Below are 19,138 nucleotides of genomic sequence, written 5' to 3'. Positions count from 1 at the left end.
TTCCTTCTGTTTGACATCAGAACTTCTGCTTAGAGTGACTCCAGATCCTTAGACGTGGTCTCATGGATCTTGCATTCAAAATGAAGTTATGACATTCTGGGGGTTTGAGGGAGAATGTCCTGTACTTTTTTTCCTGCTGAGGCAAAGCCTTAGGTGGAGCTTTCTCAGGGCTGAGTTAAGGGGACAGAAGGGATTCATCAGTGAGGGCATTTCACACCCTCATGTGGCATTTCACTTGGTAGTGTCCAGATCGGATTGGGTTTTTTTTCCTCTGGTTAGTCACGGTCCTTGGAAAGAAAGATATGCTGGCTCATGTTGTTATGTTTAATCTGCAGGGAAAATGGGATCATTAGAAGAGCCTTCTTGGGGCTGGATGCGGTGGCTTACGCCTGCAGTCCCATCACTTTGGGAGGCCAAGGCAAGCTGCTTACTTGAGATCAGGAGTTTGAGACCAGCCTGGCCAACATGGGGAAATGCCGTCTCTACTAAAAATACAAAAATATTAGCCAGGTGTGGTGGCGCACACCTGTAGTTCCAGCTACTCGGTAGGCTGAGGTGGAAGGATCACTTGAACCCGGGAGGCGGAGGTTGCAGTGAGCCGAGACTGTGCCACTGCACTCCAGCCTGGGCAACAGACTGTGACTCCATCTCAAAAAAAAAAAAAAAAAAAAAAAAAAGAAAAAAAAGAAAAAGAAAAGAAAAGAGAAGAAACTTGGCCTTTTGGTGGGTTATGGAATGGTGGGCCACCCAGCAGGAATGGTTGAACCCAATTCACAACTCTGACAGTTGCTGCAAATGTAATCAGATCATAGAAATCTGGAGAATTCTAGACTTGGGAGTGCAGTGGTTTCAGAAATTATAATCTACTTGAGAACTTCCTGAAACCAGAGGGTGTGGGAACTCTATTGTTATAGTTTGTATAGGTCATCCTCCCAGGGAAGCGAGGAGGGTGAAGGATGATGGAGAGTGGACGTGGACTTGGAAAGTCAGATGTACCAATTTCTGCACCCCTGAAGCCTTATAGTCTTTAAGAAAGACTCTTCTAATATTTTGTTGTGTTCTCCCCTCCATATTCTATTGTTTATGTCAATTATATTGGAACTATTTTTAAACAGTAGAACTGGGACTTCTCTGGTAATGAACAGAGCTCTGTCATGTAAGGGACTTCAATGAACACTTACTAAATGAGTGAATAATAAGTTAACCAATAAGTAGAGGAGAAGACATTTTTGATGTCTTGAAAATAAGTTCAATTTAATTTTGGTTATAATTTTTTGACATCAGAGGAAAGACAGCTGGGTAAATAGACCTTTCCAAGTACTTTATTGCAGTCATAGATTTGTTTCTTCCTGAGGGGCTGTCTATAGGCAGGTCTTACTTTATTCAGAAATAGTGCTGTCCAATAGAACTTTCTGCAGTGATGTAAATGTGTATCTTCACTCTGTCATATTGTAACCACTAGTCATATGTGGCTATTGAGCACTTGAAATGTGGCAAGTGACTAGGAAAGCAAATTATTAATTTTATTTTATTTTAATTAATCTAAAGATACATTTAGATAGCCACAGGGGGTTAGTGGCTGCCATGTTGGAAAGCATAGTATTGAAGGGAAACATTTACACCAAAATTTATATATTTGTAGACTAACATTAATAAATGAAATGCAGTACCATAGGGCTATGAATTCAGGAAGTGTTGTGCATTTTCTGTAAAGTTATCCTTCATGTAGGTTTAAAAAATGATGTAAATGTTCTTTTTCCTTACATGAAGATGGTTGTTATAAATTCTCAGAACCTGTGCCTAATTCCAGAGGGTGTTTATTTAGACATGGGCAACACCACATTCTTGGCCATCTTATCTAGGATTTTTGTCAGAGAGTGCTTAATAAATGCTGATAACCTTGACTACAAATGTGTATTTTCCATATGGCAGAGTTTGATGATTGCCAGATATGGGGAATTTGTGACCAGAAGTGTGAAAGCCGACCTGGCCGTCACCTGTGCCACTGTGAAGAAGGGTATATCTTGGAGCGTGGACAGTATTGCAAAGCTAATGATTCCTGTGAGTAAATTATGGACACCTGTGTCTCTGAACAGTGAACAGATTCTAATAGCTTCTTTCCTTCCTTCTGATGACAACAGAATTATCAGCATTTTTGTTGTTGGCAGGGCTTTATCATTACAAATCAGGGATGGCTCCTACTGCCTAGAAAAATTGGTCAACATTAATTTCATACTTTGATTATTAAGGACCAATTTGTCGACTAATGGTGACCATTATTAATATTTTTTAATTGATTGATTGTTTACTTTGCCTAGGCTATCATGTCACCCACCTTTAATTGTGGAATAAATGCTATGCCTACATTTGATTGGCTTGGACATTTAACTTTTAATTAATTACCTACCACAAAAGTAGGCGACAACTATCTACAGAAATAATTTTCACAGTGTTCTTGCAAAATTTAGGGATATTTCCAAATGGACATGCTAAATTTGGATTAACAATTTTTTGAATGCACTAACTCTGGGTAATTTGTTGGAATCAGTGTAAGAGTATGAAAAGTAGAGAGTAGTACAGAGTAGTAGAGAAAAGTCATGGAGAAAATCTGCAAAAAATAGATGAGGGCTCCAAAGCATTTTGTCGCTGTTGATTTCTCCGGACGAAGGTCTCAATATAAACTCCTATTTTCCAATAGTTATTTAACACTTGATTTTGAAGTGTCTTTGGTGTCTTCTGAAACTTAACTGCTCCCATGACTGAAGAATGGCCCATTTTCTACTTGTTTTTGTGTAGAAATACCTGATTTGCTGTGTAGTAACTTTTAGGTTCAGCGGATTTTTAACAATTCAATGTGTTTATTTTTGCATAGGTAACATATTTATATGTTCACAAATTTTAAATTATAAGAAGATATGTAGTGAAATGCCTTCCTCCATAACTATTCCCCTCTGCATGGTTTTCACCTTCTCTTTCCTATGAGTAATTGCCGTTTCTTTATTTTAGTTCTAGAGATTTTTTAATGAATAAACAAGAACATACAAATATAGATATTTAACTGTATTTACATATCTATATATGGTAGTAAACTATATGCACAGTTCTGCATCTTGTGAATGTACTGAAGATATTTTCCAGAGCTTTCCATTTCAGCACATGAAGTTATTTCTTAATTATTTTATTTATTTATTTATTTATTTTTATTTATTTATTTTTGAGAATGAGTCTCGCTCTGTTGCCCAGGCTGGAGTGCAGTGGCGCCATCTTGGCTCACTGCAACCTCCGCCTCCCGGGTTCAGGCAATTCTCTGCCTCAGCCTCCCGAGTAGCTGGGACTACAGGCTTCTGCCACCACACCCAGCTAATTTTTGTATTTTTAGTAGAGACGGGGTTTCATCATGTTAGCCAGGATGGTCTTGATCTCCTGACCTCATAATTTACCTGCCTTGGCCTCCCAAAGTGCTGGGATTACAGGCATGAACCACCGCATCCGGCCTTATTTATTTATTTTTGAGATGGAGTCTTGCTCTTGTTGCCCAGGCTGGAGTGCAATGGCAAGATCTTGCCTCACTGCAATCTCCGCCTCTCGGGTTCAAGCGATTCTCCTGCCTCAGCCTCCTGAGTAGCTGAGATTACAGGCCCCCGCCACCATGCCCAGCTAATTTTTGTATTTTTGGTAGAAACAGGGTTTCCCCATGTTGGCCAGGCTGATCTCGAACTCCTGACTTCAGGTGATCTGCCTACCTCAGTCCCTCAAAGTGCTGGGATTACAGGTGTGAGCCACTGCGCCTGGCCTTAATTATTTTTTTATAATGGCATAATATTCCTTCTTTTATGTTCATAATTTGTTTAACTAGTCCTCTACTGATCAATTTTTATATCATTCCTTATCTTTTGCTATTGCCAATAAGACTGCAATTAATACCTTGTTCATATATCATTTTGCATACCTGCGAGTAAACAGACAGAACAGATTTGGAACCACCATTACCATCTTTTTCAGAGTGATTTCCTGGTAATCTTTAAAATGTCTTCTGTGTTTAACAAAATCTAAAGTTGCACATGGGGCTAAGGTGCCCATACCATCAAGGAGTCTCGAAAATATCTGAGAAATACTCTCCTCAGTGTCATTGAAAGTGCATTGGACTAGCATCCAGAATGCTTGAATTCTTACCAAATTCTTCCTAACTTACTGAGATTTTGGACGCTTCATTAAGCCTTTTTGTGCCTCAATTTGCCCTTCTGTAAAATGGATAGAATGCTAGCTATCTGTCTGCCTCAGAGGTTTATGTTAAAATCAGGTAAGACAACCTAGAAGATAGCATTTGAAAAAGCAGAAAGCATATCATTTGTAAGCTACTTCACCATCCTTGCTCATCTGAAGGAGTGGTGATGCCTTCCTTCTTCGCATTTAGTTGGCGAGGCCTCCATTATCTTCTCCAATGGTCGGGATTTGTTAATTGGTGATATTCATGGAAGGAGCTTCCGGATCCTAGTGGAGTCTCAGAATCGTGGAGTGGCCGTGGGTGTGGCTTTCCACTATCACCTGCAAAGAGTTTTTTGGACAGACACCGTGCAAAATAAGGTAAATAGAAATTTCAGTAGCTGAATGGAACCCTGAGCACAAAGTGTTGATAGCTTTTCACTTTTAGAGGGAGTAGAGGGGAAAGTTCCTTTGTTTTCTAACAAAAAAGGCCCTTGAGATATTTTATGTTAATCAGCACCTTTTCCATGCTATACTATTACATGTGACCTATTAAACAAAGCAGTCTATTATATGGATTAGCCTTGAGCAACTTTTAATTTTATTCGAAGTGGAGTCCAGGAGCCTAATTAAAAGAAATAGTAGACATTCTTTCAAAACTGGATAGATATTTGGTAGTAATTTTTGAAATTTGATCATTTAAAATGTAAAAAGCACACTGCTTTTCTGGATGATAAAAATCAGATTTTTACCTGCATCTTCTAAATGGAACTGTAATTCGGGATCGAGTAACAAATATTGACGGTATTTTGTTTAATGGCCCAAATTTTGTTTCACTGTCTTATTTGGAAAGTGTGATGGGTTTAATTTCATCTTGGAGTAATGCAATGGAGATTTTTGAAACATAAATTTCAGAAACTCTTAAAGAGTTATGGAATTTTATTTATTTCTTCTTACATTTTATTATACCATTAATACGATTCTCATTTATTTAAATGATAACTTGCATGAAATTTCTGAAAATTGAGAATTTAGATTTTTAGCACTTCTGATTTGATTATAGCTAAAAAAAATCAAAACAAACCACGTAGTTAGTGATGCTGAAGAAATATAATAATTTTGGTTTTTCTTTCAGGTTTTTTCAGTTGACATTAATGGTTTAAATATCCAAGAGGTTCTCAATGTTTCTGTTGAAACCCCAGAGAACCTGGCTGTGGACTGGGTTAATAATAAAATCTATCTAGTGGAAACCAAGGTCAACCGCATAGATATGGTAAATTTGGATGGAAGCTATCGGGTTACCCTTATAACTGAAAACTTGGGGCATCCTAGAGGAATTGCCGTGGACCCAACTGTTGGGTAAGTGATGTGAAAACATATTGATTCCTGTATTTTTAGAATTTTCTCTCTCCCTCTATACACTGAACATCTACTGGATTAATCAAAGGCTCATTCTGATTTCTTTTAGGCTGTATACTCTAGAAGCCATGTCTATTTTGTGCCCTTATTTATAGAAGCTTTAAGAGAGTTTATTAAATATAATCCTATTTGAGGACATGTTACCCAAACACACCTAGTGGTGTACTAAAAATACTTGTTGTTTTGGGGCTATGAATTTTATTCTTAGTGTTTGCCACGTTTTCCTAGCTAAGAGATTGGATTTTGTGTTCTAACTCAATCTAATAATATTATTACAACTAAACATCACTTATGCTTCATTATTATTAAGATGATTACTCTAACATGAATTAGCTGTAAAGATTTTTAAAGATGGAGGTTGGAACTATTCCTTTCAGAACTTTCTTGATACAGGCTGGGATTGAGATATCAATGCTAATATCTCATTACAAGTTGTTCAGTCTGAATCAATCCAGCAACACCGATAATGCTTTTCTTCAGGTTTAAATTTAAATTTCCCAATCTTCACATTTGAGAAGTGTTATAGGAGACTTAGCTTTCTCCTAGAATTTCACAATTGGGTCTTAGGACCCTTGGATAAGCTTTAGGCTATTTTAGTCTTTGTGAATGATGATTATTCAGTTCTACTTCATTATATCAGCTATCCTTCCTTGAAAATGACGGAAATGTTCTCTGTGCCTCAGAATGGAAAACTGAGGAGCAAAATGGCTTGATAGCTTCTTTTAAAAGGTATTTGTAAGTTTTCCTGGGTGTAAAAAAGAGAAGCAAAGGACAAATAAAGGAAACAGAGGAGAAAGTTCAGAAGGTGAATATGAATTTTTTTTTTTTGAGACAGGTTCTTGCTCTGTTGCCCAGGCTGGAGTGCAGCAGCACAATCACAGCGTGCCGCAGACTTGAACTTCTGGGCTCAAGCAATCCTCCCACCTCAGCTTCCTGAGTAGCTGAGACTATGGGCAAGTGCCATCATGCCCAGCTAATCTTTTAATTTTTGTAGAGATGGGGTCTTGCCATGTTGCCCAGGCTGGTCTTGAAACATGGGCCTCAAGCAATCCTTCTATGTTGGCCTCCCAAAGTGCTAGGACCACAGGCATGAACCACTGTGCCTGGCTGGCTGAATATGAACTTTTAGACTGCCATATTAGTGCATCATAATAGTTGCTATTTGGAACTGTTGATGCTCCTGACTGACCCCCACAGTCTCTTTAAAAAAAAAAAACAACTTAATTTCCCTGTTGTTTTATACTGTGGTTCTCTAATCAGCTGGATAAAATTTCCATTGATCCAAACACACTGTTAAAAAAAATTCCCAGGTTAACTTGTAAAATACCAGATTCTTTCATCTTCTGTTTTTCTTTTGTAGTTATTTATTTTTCTCAGATTGGGAGAGCCTTTCTGGGGAACCTAAGCTGGAAAGGGCATTCATGGATGGCAGCAACCGTAAAGACTTGGTGAAAACAAAGCTGGGATGGCCTGCTGGGGTAACTCTGGATATGATATCGAAGCGTGTTTACTGGGTTGACTCTCGGTTTGATTACATTGAAACTGTAACTTATGATGGAATTCAAAGGTAAGAAGTATTTTTTATGGCTTATGGCTTTATAAGTTGCAGGGAAAGTGCATAAAATGGCTGCAGAGAAATATCAAAGGACCAGAATTAAAATATTGCTTTGTTGGTGGACATGATAGCTTTAATGACCTTTGTACTGACATTTGCATGAAGTGACCTGCTCTATTTTGTTAACTTTTCTTGTGTCCCATAACACAAGAGGTAAACGCTCATTAAATATAACCTCCAGCATTTGTTCTTTGATTTCTCCTCTCCAACTCTTCCCCTAGTCCCACATGATGCACATTATTTTCATTCACTCCTGAGTTCATTTGTGCTTTGTTTCTCAAGATCACTTTCCCTTTTAATTTTCTAACCTTCCCCCAATAAATACATGTTTTATTAGGTATTTGATGTTGCCTACTGGGAATTAATTGGATTTTACTCTGCTCTTATATATTTCAAATTTCAAGGAGAAATTCTTTGTATTGTATTTTTACCTGGTATACAAAGATACTTAAACAGCAATATTTGAATGTAGAATATGGCTTTCTTTTTTTTTTTTTTTTTTTGAGATGGAGTCTCACTCTGTCACCCAGGCTGAAGTGCAGTGATGCAATCTCGGTTCACTGCAAACTCCACCTCCCAAGTTCAAGTGATTCTCCTGCTTCAACCTCCCCAGTAGCTAGGATTACAAGCATACACCACCATGCCTGGCAATTTTTGTATTTTTAGTAGAGATAAAATTTCACCGTGTTTCCCAGGCTGGTCCCAAACTCCTAACCTCAAGTTATTCGCCTGCCTCAGCCTCCCAAAGTATTGGGATTACAGATGTGAGCCACTACACCTGGCTGAATATGGCATATTTTTTTTCATCTTTTTACTCTGATTAGAGCTAACTACAACTTAATGTAAAAAAAATTATTTTAGATCCTCTCCTTTTGGTATTTTCAAAAATTGGGTAAAACATGTTCTTCAAATTTTGACCCAAAATATTATTCTTTGTGGATTCAGCAAATAGGCTGGTTAACTTAATTTTTCCCAATGACTTGATTTTATTGTTTTCTCAATGAAAGCAATATTATAGTTTTGTTTCCTCTTGTATTTCCATTTTGTAAGGATAATATCACAGTTTGCCATTGGATTATATATCCTTGGGACAATCTCTGCTTGGTTAAATGAAGTATTGTGTATTAATATGGTGACTTCCTATCACTGAAACTGGCTTCCATAAGGAGAATATGAATAAATTTTATGAAAAAATTAGCTAACCCAATAAGTCACATAAAATAATTGTGAAATTGCTTAAATTTTTTCTCTTTGGGATGTTTTAGCATTATATTATATAGTCTAACTTTTGCTGAAGTAAAAAAAAGTAAAGCATAAAAGATAAAAATCAATGGAATTTCAAAAAGATTTGAGTGGTTTGCTGGCTGTGAAGAAACATCAAAGAAATATTAAAGCTCACAAGTACAGCTGAAATCATAAAGTCATTGCCTCTCGCTTTGCCAGCAGGTGGCATTCAGGGTTTTGGAATTTGCTAACTGAGAGAGAAACTATTCTCTAATCTTAATGTACCATGTCATTATAGAATGTTTCAAAGTGTGCACTAACCTGCCACCTTAGGTTTCTTTGTTTACTCCCCTTTAGTGTGTTTCCCAGCTTTAATATCTTCAAGTCTTTTCTTAGAGCTCTATTGTCCTTTTTAGTTTTCAGGGGATGCTAAGATTTTTCTTTGAGGTCTTTGTATTACGCCAAAATAAAGAAAATAAGAGTTTTCCCATATCAACCGTCCTCTGCCTCACTCTGTTCATGAGTCTAACTGAATCATTGTTTATGGAGACATAGTCACGGGGGGCGTTGTTGATTTCCTCTCTTCGCTTAGTGCCTAATTTTACTTCTGTTTTCTTCCCAGTTAAGTGGCTTTGGGCCTCCATTACAAGTATGATCAGTTGATAGTTCCATCAAGCAGATGCATAAGAGTGGTAGTGGCATTGCTTCTTGCTTTCCTTACAGTGACATCAGGAACAGATGTGGGCGTTTGCTGGGGCTTGAACCCTACCACTCACTGTCCTGCTCCCTAATTGCTAGGAAATGCTCAATGGTGCAGTGGGAAATAGTTGGCAAAGGCATCTTTTCCCAGACTTCCAAAGTCTTGGTATACTCTTTCACTTATGGTATTCAAAATGCTATTTCACATCTTAGCCTTTTAGATGTGGGGCAACCTAAAAGGAATGAAGAACAAAAGGGGAAACAGTAAATTCCAAAAAAGTCTAGGACAAGCTAAAGGATTGACTGGGACTGGAATGTAAGTCTCAAGGGTCTTTTCCAAGAGACAACATGAAAATCCTTCTATCATATGTAGATGGAAATATGTATACATCTAAAATGTATCTTTTCTATCTATTCCGTATTTGTGACAAGAAATTATTTAGCTTTTCAGGCATTTAATTGAACTAACTACAGCTTTAATTATAATAAAGCAAAACTAACAAATTGTATGATATATATGTGTCTTTTATAACAGGAAGACTGTAGTTCATGGAGGCTCCCTCATTCCTCATCCCTTTGGAGTAAGCTTATTTGAAGGTCAGGTGTTCTTTACAGATTGGACAAAGATGGCCGTGCTGAAGGCAAACAAGTTCACAGAGACCAACCCACAAGTGTACTACCAGGCTTCCCTGAGGCCCTATGGAGTGACTGTTTACCATTCCCTCAGACAGCCCTATGGTAAGCCTCAGAGCAGTGGTAACCATGCTTGGTACCGGACTTGGTGGAAAGGTTTTCTCAAAGCTTTGAAAGTTAATAATGAGGGGTCTTATGTGATTTGGGTGGCATTCTCAAGTATATGAAGGGTTACCCAGAGTGTTAAACTCTCTGAAACTGGTTCTGCAGGTTAGGAGCATTCTGAAGAAACTGATGTATTTCACAGTTAAATGCCAAATCTAGAGGGAATTTAGAGATTTATTTAACAGATGTTTATTAGCACCTGCAAAGATGCTTGGGGGTATAGCAGCTCACAAACCAAACCAAAATACCTATCCTCATTCTACTGGGAAAGACATCTATTTCAAACTTCTAATATTACAGTTAAGGAAACAGGTCCCATAGAAGAAAATGACATGTCTAAGTGTCCATTTTCGGTAGCATCAGAGCCATTTTTTTCTTCTTCTCTGTTGCATATGTATGGCACCTGTTCTTTGGTTCTGATTAATCTGTCATAGGCCAACTGGGTTTGGTGTCTCTCTGGCTGGTCACTTATTTTAAAAAAAGAAATATTTTGATTCAGACACTGCTTAGTCTTCTCCTGTTATTTTACCACGTGATTTTTTCTTTTTATTTTTTCTGAGATGGGATTTCCACTATGTTGGCCAGACTTTTCTGGAACTCCGGGCTTCAAGCGATCCTCCTGCCCCGGCTTCCCAAAGTGTTGGGATTACAGGTGTAAGCCACTGCACCTGGCCTATCATAAGCTTTGTTTATGTTTCCAGGTTATAGCTTGAGCTTTGATAAGTCTATCAGGACTGTATATAGCTCTTTTCTGTATTTGCTTGTGGATCAAAGAAAAAGAAACATAAACTACACTACGTTGGTAGAAAGCTTAATATTGGTGAGCAATAATTTAGAGGAAAACAGATTTGCTCTAAAACTCATGTTAAGTGATGGATCTATTTAGGATGAAGAAAGACTGCAAAGTAATGAGGTTAACTTAACAAAAGCCCAACCACTAGAAATGACACATTCAGATGAATCTCCTTCAATGTCATCATCCTGGGAAAGTATAAACTTGTCTAAAAATAGATATTTTATCTGAAAACATTTTTGGAAATATCTGTTTTGAATAGTTTTTACACTCAATTCACAACTAAACTCACACCTGCCCTCACATTAGATCCATTAGATCAATGATCAATGTGATCACTCAAATTACTATTTTCATTATTTGGCTCAGAATGACATCTGCCTATTGTTTCCCCAAATCAATCCACCTGAGAAGATAAAGAGAATATTTTAAAGAATAAGTCAAAGGCTAAAAAGACAATTTTGAAAGCAGATATAAAATTTCTAGCTGTGGCAGTGCTCTTCCTAAGGTCACTACTTTGAGAGTGGCTTTTGGAAGTATAAACTGGTTTGTGTTGCAGACATTTAAGGTTTTGGAATCAGATCTGGCTTTGAATCCTAGTCAAGCTGTTTAGCTGCTGAATAATGTTGGGCAAGTTATTTAACTGTTTAGATTCTTGGTTTCTCCTCTGTAAAATTGGAGGACTAATACTTACCTCTTAGAGCTATTGGTTAAGTTGGTTTACTTACAAAGTAAGCATCCAGTGAGTAATATTTATTATATCCTACAAATGGCAAAAAAGCAGTGAAGTGTGGGTTTTCTTTTGACAATTATTTCTAATCATGGAGGATAGCAGACATACTCTGACATAATTATTGGGGAGAAAGTTGTAGGAGTCCTTTCTTTTTTTTTGCCACCGTCTGTTGGAGAGTGGATGGGAGAGCAGCAGTGAAATTGGGAGGGTTAGTGTAGCCAGATGTGGATGTATCCAGTAGTAACCAGTAGTAATGTTTTCAACACGTTGCTAATCCATTACTCTATTTCACCTATAGGTGAAAAGGGCTAGAAGTGGCTTCATGTCTTGGATAATTACACATTTCTAATTGCAATTTAACCCTGTGCATTTTTCCTTCCAGCTACCAATCCGTGTAAAGATAACAATGGGGGCTGTGAGCAGGTCTGTGTCCTCAGCCACAGAACAGATAATGATGGTTTGGGTTTCCGTTGCAAGTGCACATTCGGCTTCCAACTGGATACAGATGAGCGCCACTGCATTGGTAAGAAGTCTGTTTTGGACGTTGTTGGCAGGTGACACAGGTGTATGTGTGTCCAAACCTCTAACTAGACTAACTGCTACTCTTGAACTGGACCAGCTCCCTGTCTAACTTCTTGACTGCAAATAAGCTTTCTGTAGCCCACAGGGCATCTTCCTTGGTAGGCACCACTTCTACTATACACAGAACTATGTTTGAAAATGTAAATTTCTGTCTTTTGGGATTTTGCTTTAATCCCACATCTAAGGTTTTCTTGGGTTCCCTTCCCCCTTTGTTTCCTGAAGCCTTTTTCTCCTATTAACTATGATCTTGAAATTCCATATGGTTGAACTTTGAGCTCTTTTCTATGCTATGTATACCTTTTCCACTTTAGATGTTAGCCTTAACTTTGATGGGAAGTACTGTACTTCTCCCCACTTTGACTTCTCCTAGACCACCACGTATGCCCCTTTCAACCAGGTAATCACATCTGAATCTTATCTGGCTTATTTTTTCTCTCTGTATTCCAAAGTAAACTCCTGAGCATTGGGGTGGCTCAGTTACTCACACAGTTTTTCACCTTTCAGTTCAAACTTTCTTGTATCTGCCTCCATATTCCTGATTTCATTCTTACCTTGAAGGTTTCCTTTCTTCCTCTTTGGTTTCCTACACATCTATTCACACTTAAGCCATCGCCTGGGCCCCAGCTAATGATGAAATGCACTCCTACAATATTTGTTTTTCTTATTTTCACTTCTACATTTCTCCTTTCTGTGCCTGTGACAAATTCTTGCTCTCCAGATGTTGCGGTTTCTAGCGTCGTATATAAATTATCTTATTCTAACCCAGACACATTTGTTAACTTCTTAGGTAGTTTTAGATTCAGAAAAATCACCCTCATTAAAAACAACATGTATTTCTAACTATTATATCAATAGTGCGTTGTCTAATAATTTTGCTTTTAAATTCCGTTACTGCGATTTTTATCTTTGTCTTGGGCATACCTCCTTCATCTTCTTGACTCCCTGGCATCCTGTCACAGTCTCCTCTTTGCTGTTAAACATCACTTCTTCTTACCTATTTCCTTTATCCCTCCCCTTCCTTCCCTGCTTTCACTCCTTTATATCTTTATATTTCTGATTGCTGTTAATTATCTTGGTATCTACTGTAAGGTTCTTGGTGTAGATCTCTATGCAGAAGTTAAACCAACTTGAGGATTGTTACGGAATTACTATAGAGTTCAGCTCTGTATGATTTTTAAACAAAAGATTGATGGCACAGGTGAGAAAGGTTTCTGTGTGTGTGTGTGTGTGTGTGTGTGTGTGTGTGTGTGTGTGTGCATGTTTTGCCTGTTTATTGTAATGATACTTATAACTTGATAATTAAAACTCAGTATCTAATTTTTAAGCAGTCCTTTTTATTTTATTTATTTATACTATTTTACTTTAAGTTCTAGGGTACATGTGCACAATGTGCAGGTTTGTTACATATGTATACATGTGCCATGTTGGTGTGCTGCACCCGTTAACTCGTCATTACATTAGATGTATCTCCTATTTTATAAATTAAGCATATGGATATCATTTTTCATATAAATACATTTTAAGGATACATTTCTTAGGAAGAAGGAAGATTCTAATACTTGTATCTCCCTCATAGTTGCTTATCTTTTTTTCTTCCCTGTATTATTTCTAACTATGCTTTCCAAAAATTTATTTTTACATTTATTTCAGAATTATATTTTATAATTTAAAGTTTGCTCTGTGGATGCATTTATCTGGAATTTGGGAGGAGAGAAAAGAACCATGCTGTGACTGACTGTGCTGTGTTATTCTTCCTACAGCTGTTCAGAATTTCCTCATTTTTTCATCCCAAGTTGCTATTCGTGGGATCCCGTTCACCTTGTCTACCCAGGAAGATGTCATGGTTCCAGTTTCGGGGAATCCTTCTTTCTTTGTCGGGATTGATTTTGACGCCCAGGACAGCACTATCTTTTTTTCAGATATGTCAAAACACATGATTTTTAAGCAAAAGATTGATGGCACAGGTGAGAAAGGTTTGTGTGTGTGTGTGTGTGTGTATGCGTGTTTTGCCTGTTTATTGTAATGATACTTACAACTTGATAATTAAAACTCAGTATCTAATTTTTAAGCAGTCTTATTTATTTATTTATTTATTTATTTATTTATTTATACTATTTTACTTTAAGTTCTAGGGTACATGTGCACAACGTGCAGGTTTGTTACATATGTATACATGTGCCATGTTGGTGTGCTGCACCCGTTAACTCGTCATTTATGTTAGGTATATCTCCTAATGCTATCCCTCCCCCTCCCCCCACCCCACGACAGGCCCTGGCGTGTGATGTTCCCCATCCTGTGTCCATGTGTGCTCATTGTTCAATTCCCACCTGTGAGTGAGAACATGTGGTGTTTGGTTTTCTGTCCTTGCAATAGTTTGCTGAGAATGATGATTTCCAATTTCATCCATGTCCCTGTAAAGAACATGAACTCATCCTTTTTTATGGCTGCATAGTATTCCATGGTGCATATGTAACACATTTTCTTAATCCAGTCTATCATTGATGAACATTTGGGTTGGTTCCAAGTTTTTGCTGTTGTGAATAGTGCCGCAATAAACATACGTGAGCATGTGTCTTTATAGCAGCATGATTTATAATCCTTTGGGTATATGCCCAGTAATGGGATGGCTGGGTCAAATGTTATTTCTAGTTCTAGATCCCTGAGGAATCTCCACACTGTCTTCCACAATGGTTGAACTAGTTTACAGTCCCTCCAACAGTGTAAAAGTGTTCCTATATCTCCACATCCTCTCCAGCACCTGTTGTTTCCTGACTTTTTAATGATCGCCATTCTAACTGGTGTGAGATGGTATCTCATTGTGATTTTGATTTGCATTTCTCTGATGGCTAGTGATGATGAGCATTTTTTCTTGTGTCTGTTGCCTCCATAAATGTCTTTTTTTGAGAAGTGTCTGTTCATATCCTTCACCCACTTTTTGATGGGGTTGTTTGATTTTTTCTTGTAAATTTGTTTAAGTTCTTTGTAGATTCTGGATATTAGCCCTTTGTAAGATGGGTAGATTGTAAAAATTTTCTCCTATTCTGTAGGTTGCCTGTTCACTCTGATGGTAGTTTGTTTTGCTGTGCAGAAGCTCTTTAGTCTAATTAGATCCCATTTGTCAATTTTGGCTTTTGTTGCCATTGCTTTTGGTGTTGCAGTCATGAAGTCCTTGCCCACACCTATGGCCTGAATGGTATTGTCTAGGTTTTCTTCTAAGGGTTCTTATGGCTTTAGGTCTAACATTTAAATCTTTAATCCATCTTGAATTGATTTTTGTATAAGGTGTAAGGAAGGGATCCAGTTTCAGCTTTCTAAATATGGCTAGCCAGTTTTCCCAGTACCATTTATTAAATAGGGAATCCTTTCCCCATTTCTTGTTTTTGTCAGGTTTGTCAAAGATCAGATGGTTGTAGATGTGTGATATCATTTCTGAGGACTCTATTCTGTTCCATTGGTCTATATCTCTGTTTTGGTACCAGTACCATGCTGTTTTGGTTACTGTAGCCTTGTAGTATAGCTTGAAGTCAGGTAGTGTGATGCCTTCAGCTTTGTTCTTTTGGCTTAGGATTGTCTTGGCAATGCAGGCTCTTTTTTGGTTCCATATGAACTTTAAAGTAGTTTTTTCCAATTCTGTGAAGAAAGTCATTGGTAGCTTGATGGGGATGGCATTGAATCTATAAATCACCTTGGGCAGTATGGCCATTTTCACAATATTGATTCTTCCTATCCATGAGCATGGATTGTTCTTCCATTTGTTTGTGTCCTCTTTTATTTTGCTGAGCAGTGGTTTGTAGTTCTCCTTGAAGAGGTCCTTCACATCCCTTGTAAGTTGGATTCCTAGGTATTTTATTCTCTTTGAAGCAATTGTGAATGGGAGTTCACTCATGATTTGGCTCTCTGTTTGTCTGTTATTGGTGTATAGGAATGCTTGTGATTTTTGCACATTGATTTTGTATCCTGAGACTTTGCTGAAGTTGCTTATCAGCTTAAGGAGATATTGGGCTGAGATGATGGGGTTTTCTAAATATACAGTCATATCATCTGCAAACAGGGACAATTTGACTTCCTCTTTTCCTAATTGAATACCCTTTATTTCCTTCTCCTGACTAATTGCCCTGGCCAGAACTTCCAACACTATGCTGAGTAGGAGTGGCGAGAGAGGGCATCCCTGCCTTGTGCCAGTTTTCAAAGGGAATGCTTCCAGTTTTTGTCCATTCAGTATGATATTGGCTGTGGGTTTGTCATAAATAGCTCTTATTATTTTGAGATACATCCCATCAATACCTAGTTTATTGATTTAGCATGAAGGGCTGTTGAATTTTGTCAAAGGCCTTTTCTGCATCTATTGAGATAATCATGTGGTTTTTGTCTTTGGTTCTGTTTATATGCTGGATTACGTTTATTGATTTGTGTATGCTGAACCAGCATTGCATCACAGGGATGAAGCCCACTTGATCATGGTGGATAAGCTTTTTGATGTGATCCTGGATTCGGTTTGCCAGTATTTTATTGAGGATTTTTGCATCAATGTTCATCAGGGATATTGGTCTAAAATTCTCTTTTTTTGTTGTGTCTCTGCCAGGCTTTGGTATCAGAATGATGTTGGCCTCATAAAATGAATTAGGGATGATTCCCTCTTTTTGCTTTGATTGGAATAGTTTCAGAAGGAATGGAACCAGCTCCTCTTTGTACCTCTGGTAGAATTCGGCTGTGAATCCGTCTGGTCCTGGACATTTTTTGGGTTGGTAGGCTATTAATTATTGCCTCAATTTCAGAACCTGTTATTGGACTATTCAGGGATTCAGCTTCTTCCTGGTTTAGTCTTGGGAGGGTGTATGTGTCCAGGAATTTATCTATTTCTTCTAGATTTTCTAGTTTATTTGCATAGAGGTATTTACAGTATTCTCTGATGGTAGTTTGTATTTCTTTGGGATGGGTGGTGATATCCCCTTTATCATTTTTTATTGTGTCTAGTTGATTCTTCTCTCTTTTCTTCTTTATTAGTCTTGCTAGCGGTCTATCAATTTTGTTCATTTTTTCAAAAAACCAGCTCCTGGATTCATTGATTTTTTGAAGGGTTTTTTGTGTCTCTATCTCCTTCAGTTCTGCTATGATCTTAGTTATTTCTTGCCTTCCGTTAGCTTTTGAATGTGTTTGCTCTCGCTTCTCTAGTTCTTTTAATTGTGATGTTAGGGTGTCAGTTTTAGATCTCTACTGCTTTCTCCTGTGGGCATTTAGTGCTATAAATTTCCTTCTACACCCTACTTCAAATGTGTCCCAGAGATTCTGGTGTGTTGTGTCTTTGGTCTCATTGGTTTCACAGAACGTCTTTATTTCTGCCTTCATTTCGTTGCTTACCCAGTAGTCATTCAGGAGCACGTTGTTCAGTTTCCGTGTAGTTGAGTGGTTTTGAGTGAGTTTCTGGATCCTGAGTTCTAATTTGATTGCCTTGTGGTCTGAGAGACAGTTTGTTATAATTTCTGTTCTTTTACATTTGCTGAGGAGTGCTTTACTTCCAACTATGTGGTCAATTTTGGAATAAGTGCGATGTGGTGCTGAGAGGAATGTATACTCTGTTGATTTGGGGTGGATAGTTATGTAAGCAGAGATTTTACTAAGCTTCCTAAATAGTTTTAGATTGAGAAAATAAATTTATTGCTTTTTTATGGATTAAGGTAAAACAAACACCTTTCCTTTATTTTAGAAACACGTTATTTTTGGGAACCGAGACGGGAGGATTGCTTGAGGCCGGGAGTTTGAGACCAGCCTGAGCAACATAGTGAGATTCCACTTGTACCAAAAAAAGAAAAAAATTAGCCAGATGTGGTGGCATGTACCTGTAGTCCCCACTACTTGGGAGGCTGCAATGGAAGGATTGTTTGAGCCCAGGAGATCCAGGTTGCAGTGAGCTATGACCATACCACTGCACTCCAGCTTGGGCAACAGAGTGCAACCCTATCTCGGAAAAAAAAAAAAAAAAAAAAGGTTACAAACGTGTGTGTATTTTAACAATGACCAATGTTAACATAAAAGAAATGTCACGTGTATGAGAGCCATTAACAGATTAATTGACTAGACACTGTTTTTCATACTCAAGCAGCCAGATTGATTAAAGGGGAAGACATCTCTTCAGGGATGCTGGACTATGTAAATGCCAAGGGTTTGGTTTGTAATAGTAATAAAATTTGTAAGCAATATAACATACCAACTAAGAGAGCCAGCTTAGGAGCTACACTGCCTGGTTCCAAATTCCAGCTTCCCACATTTCCTAGCTTTGTAACTTTGGGGAAGTTACTCAATTTCCTTTTGCCTCAATTTTCTAGTCTGAAAAATATGCGGTTCATATATTGCTCATAAGGTTGTTGAGAGAATTTTTGGCTAATGCATGTAAACACCTAGAGTAATGGCTAGAAAATAGTAAATATTCAGTAAATGTTGGATATCATTTTATCTGTTATCAATATAAAACCATATTGCCCACCCTCCCCTGCCCCTAATCCAGACCTGCTCTGGGGAGGGAACAGCTCTTTTGACTATTTCTTCTTTTGTTTGTCTCCATGTTTCTAAATGCTTTGTTTATACTTCTATTTCTTGATTTATCATTTTTGATATTTACTTCCTTGTTCTAGGTGAGCGTTTTGCTTTCTTACATCATTCTTCTCTCCCAGCTTCTGACTTCCCTCCCCCCATTCTCCTTAAAAAGCTAGATTATAATTTTTGGTTAAATTAATCATATGTGTTTATATTATTAACATAATATAAATATAAATATTGTTCACTGCTCAGCCAATTAGTATTCTAGGATGACATTTCTTGACAATTTTTGACAATTGCCCCATTTTCATTTGCTTAGTTTTTAAATATAACAATCATGTATTTTCCCCAAATGCTCTAATAGCTCTATCAAATGCCTGTACAAAGACAGAAAACAATCTATAATTTTTTTTTTCTTTCTGGAGACCCCTATCCTGTGTTCCAATTGGGACTTGTTTTTCTCTGGCCTGGTGCACAGACTTCTCTTTGCCACTCCCCTGTGCTGGAACTTCTGTTTGTGGCAGGCCATTTATTTCTT

At 37.7% G+C, this 19,138-nt stretch overlaps 1 protein-coding gene across 4 annotated transcripts in view; it reads left to right on the top strand.

Moving 5' to 3' along the window:
• Window positions 1-19,138, top strand: part of LRP2 (LDL receptor related protein 2) — a 235,426-nt gene that overhangs the window by 77,601 nt on the left and 138,687 nt on the right. For 3 of the 4 annotated variants that reach the window (XM_011511183.4, NM_004525.3, XM_047444340.1), the window contains exons 10-16: window positions 1,933-2,061; window positions 4,415-4,584; window positions 5,339-5,562; window positions 6,983-7,189; window positions 9,696-9,898; window positions 11,867-12,007; window positions 13,827-14,030. In XM_011511183.4, coding sequence (XP_011509485.1) covers window positions 1,933-2,061; window positions 4,415-4,584; window positions 5,339-5,562; window positions 6,983-7,189; window positions 9,696-9,898; window positions 11,867-12,007; window positions 13,827-14,030 — 1,278 coding nt within the window. Of the gene's footprint in view, window positions 1-1,932; window positions 2,062-4,414; window positions 4,585-5,338; window positions 5,563-6,982; window positions 7,190-9,695; window positions 9,899-11,866; window positions 12,008-13,218; window positions 13,265-13,826; window positions 14,031-19,138 lie in introns of those variants that run through there. The other variant, XM_011511184.3, reaches the window with a different exon arrangement.

Source organism: Homo sapiens, chromosome 2 (assembly GCF_000001405.40).
Source record: "Homo sapiens chromosome 2, GRCh38.p14 Primary Assembly".
Lineage (NCBI taxonomy): Eukaryota > Metazoa > Chordata > Mammalia > Primates > Hominidae > Homo > Homo sapiens.
This window is presented reverse-complemented; position numbering and strand designations above follow the sequence as displayed.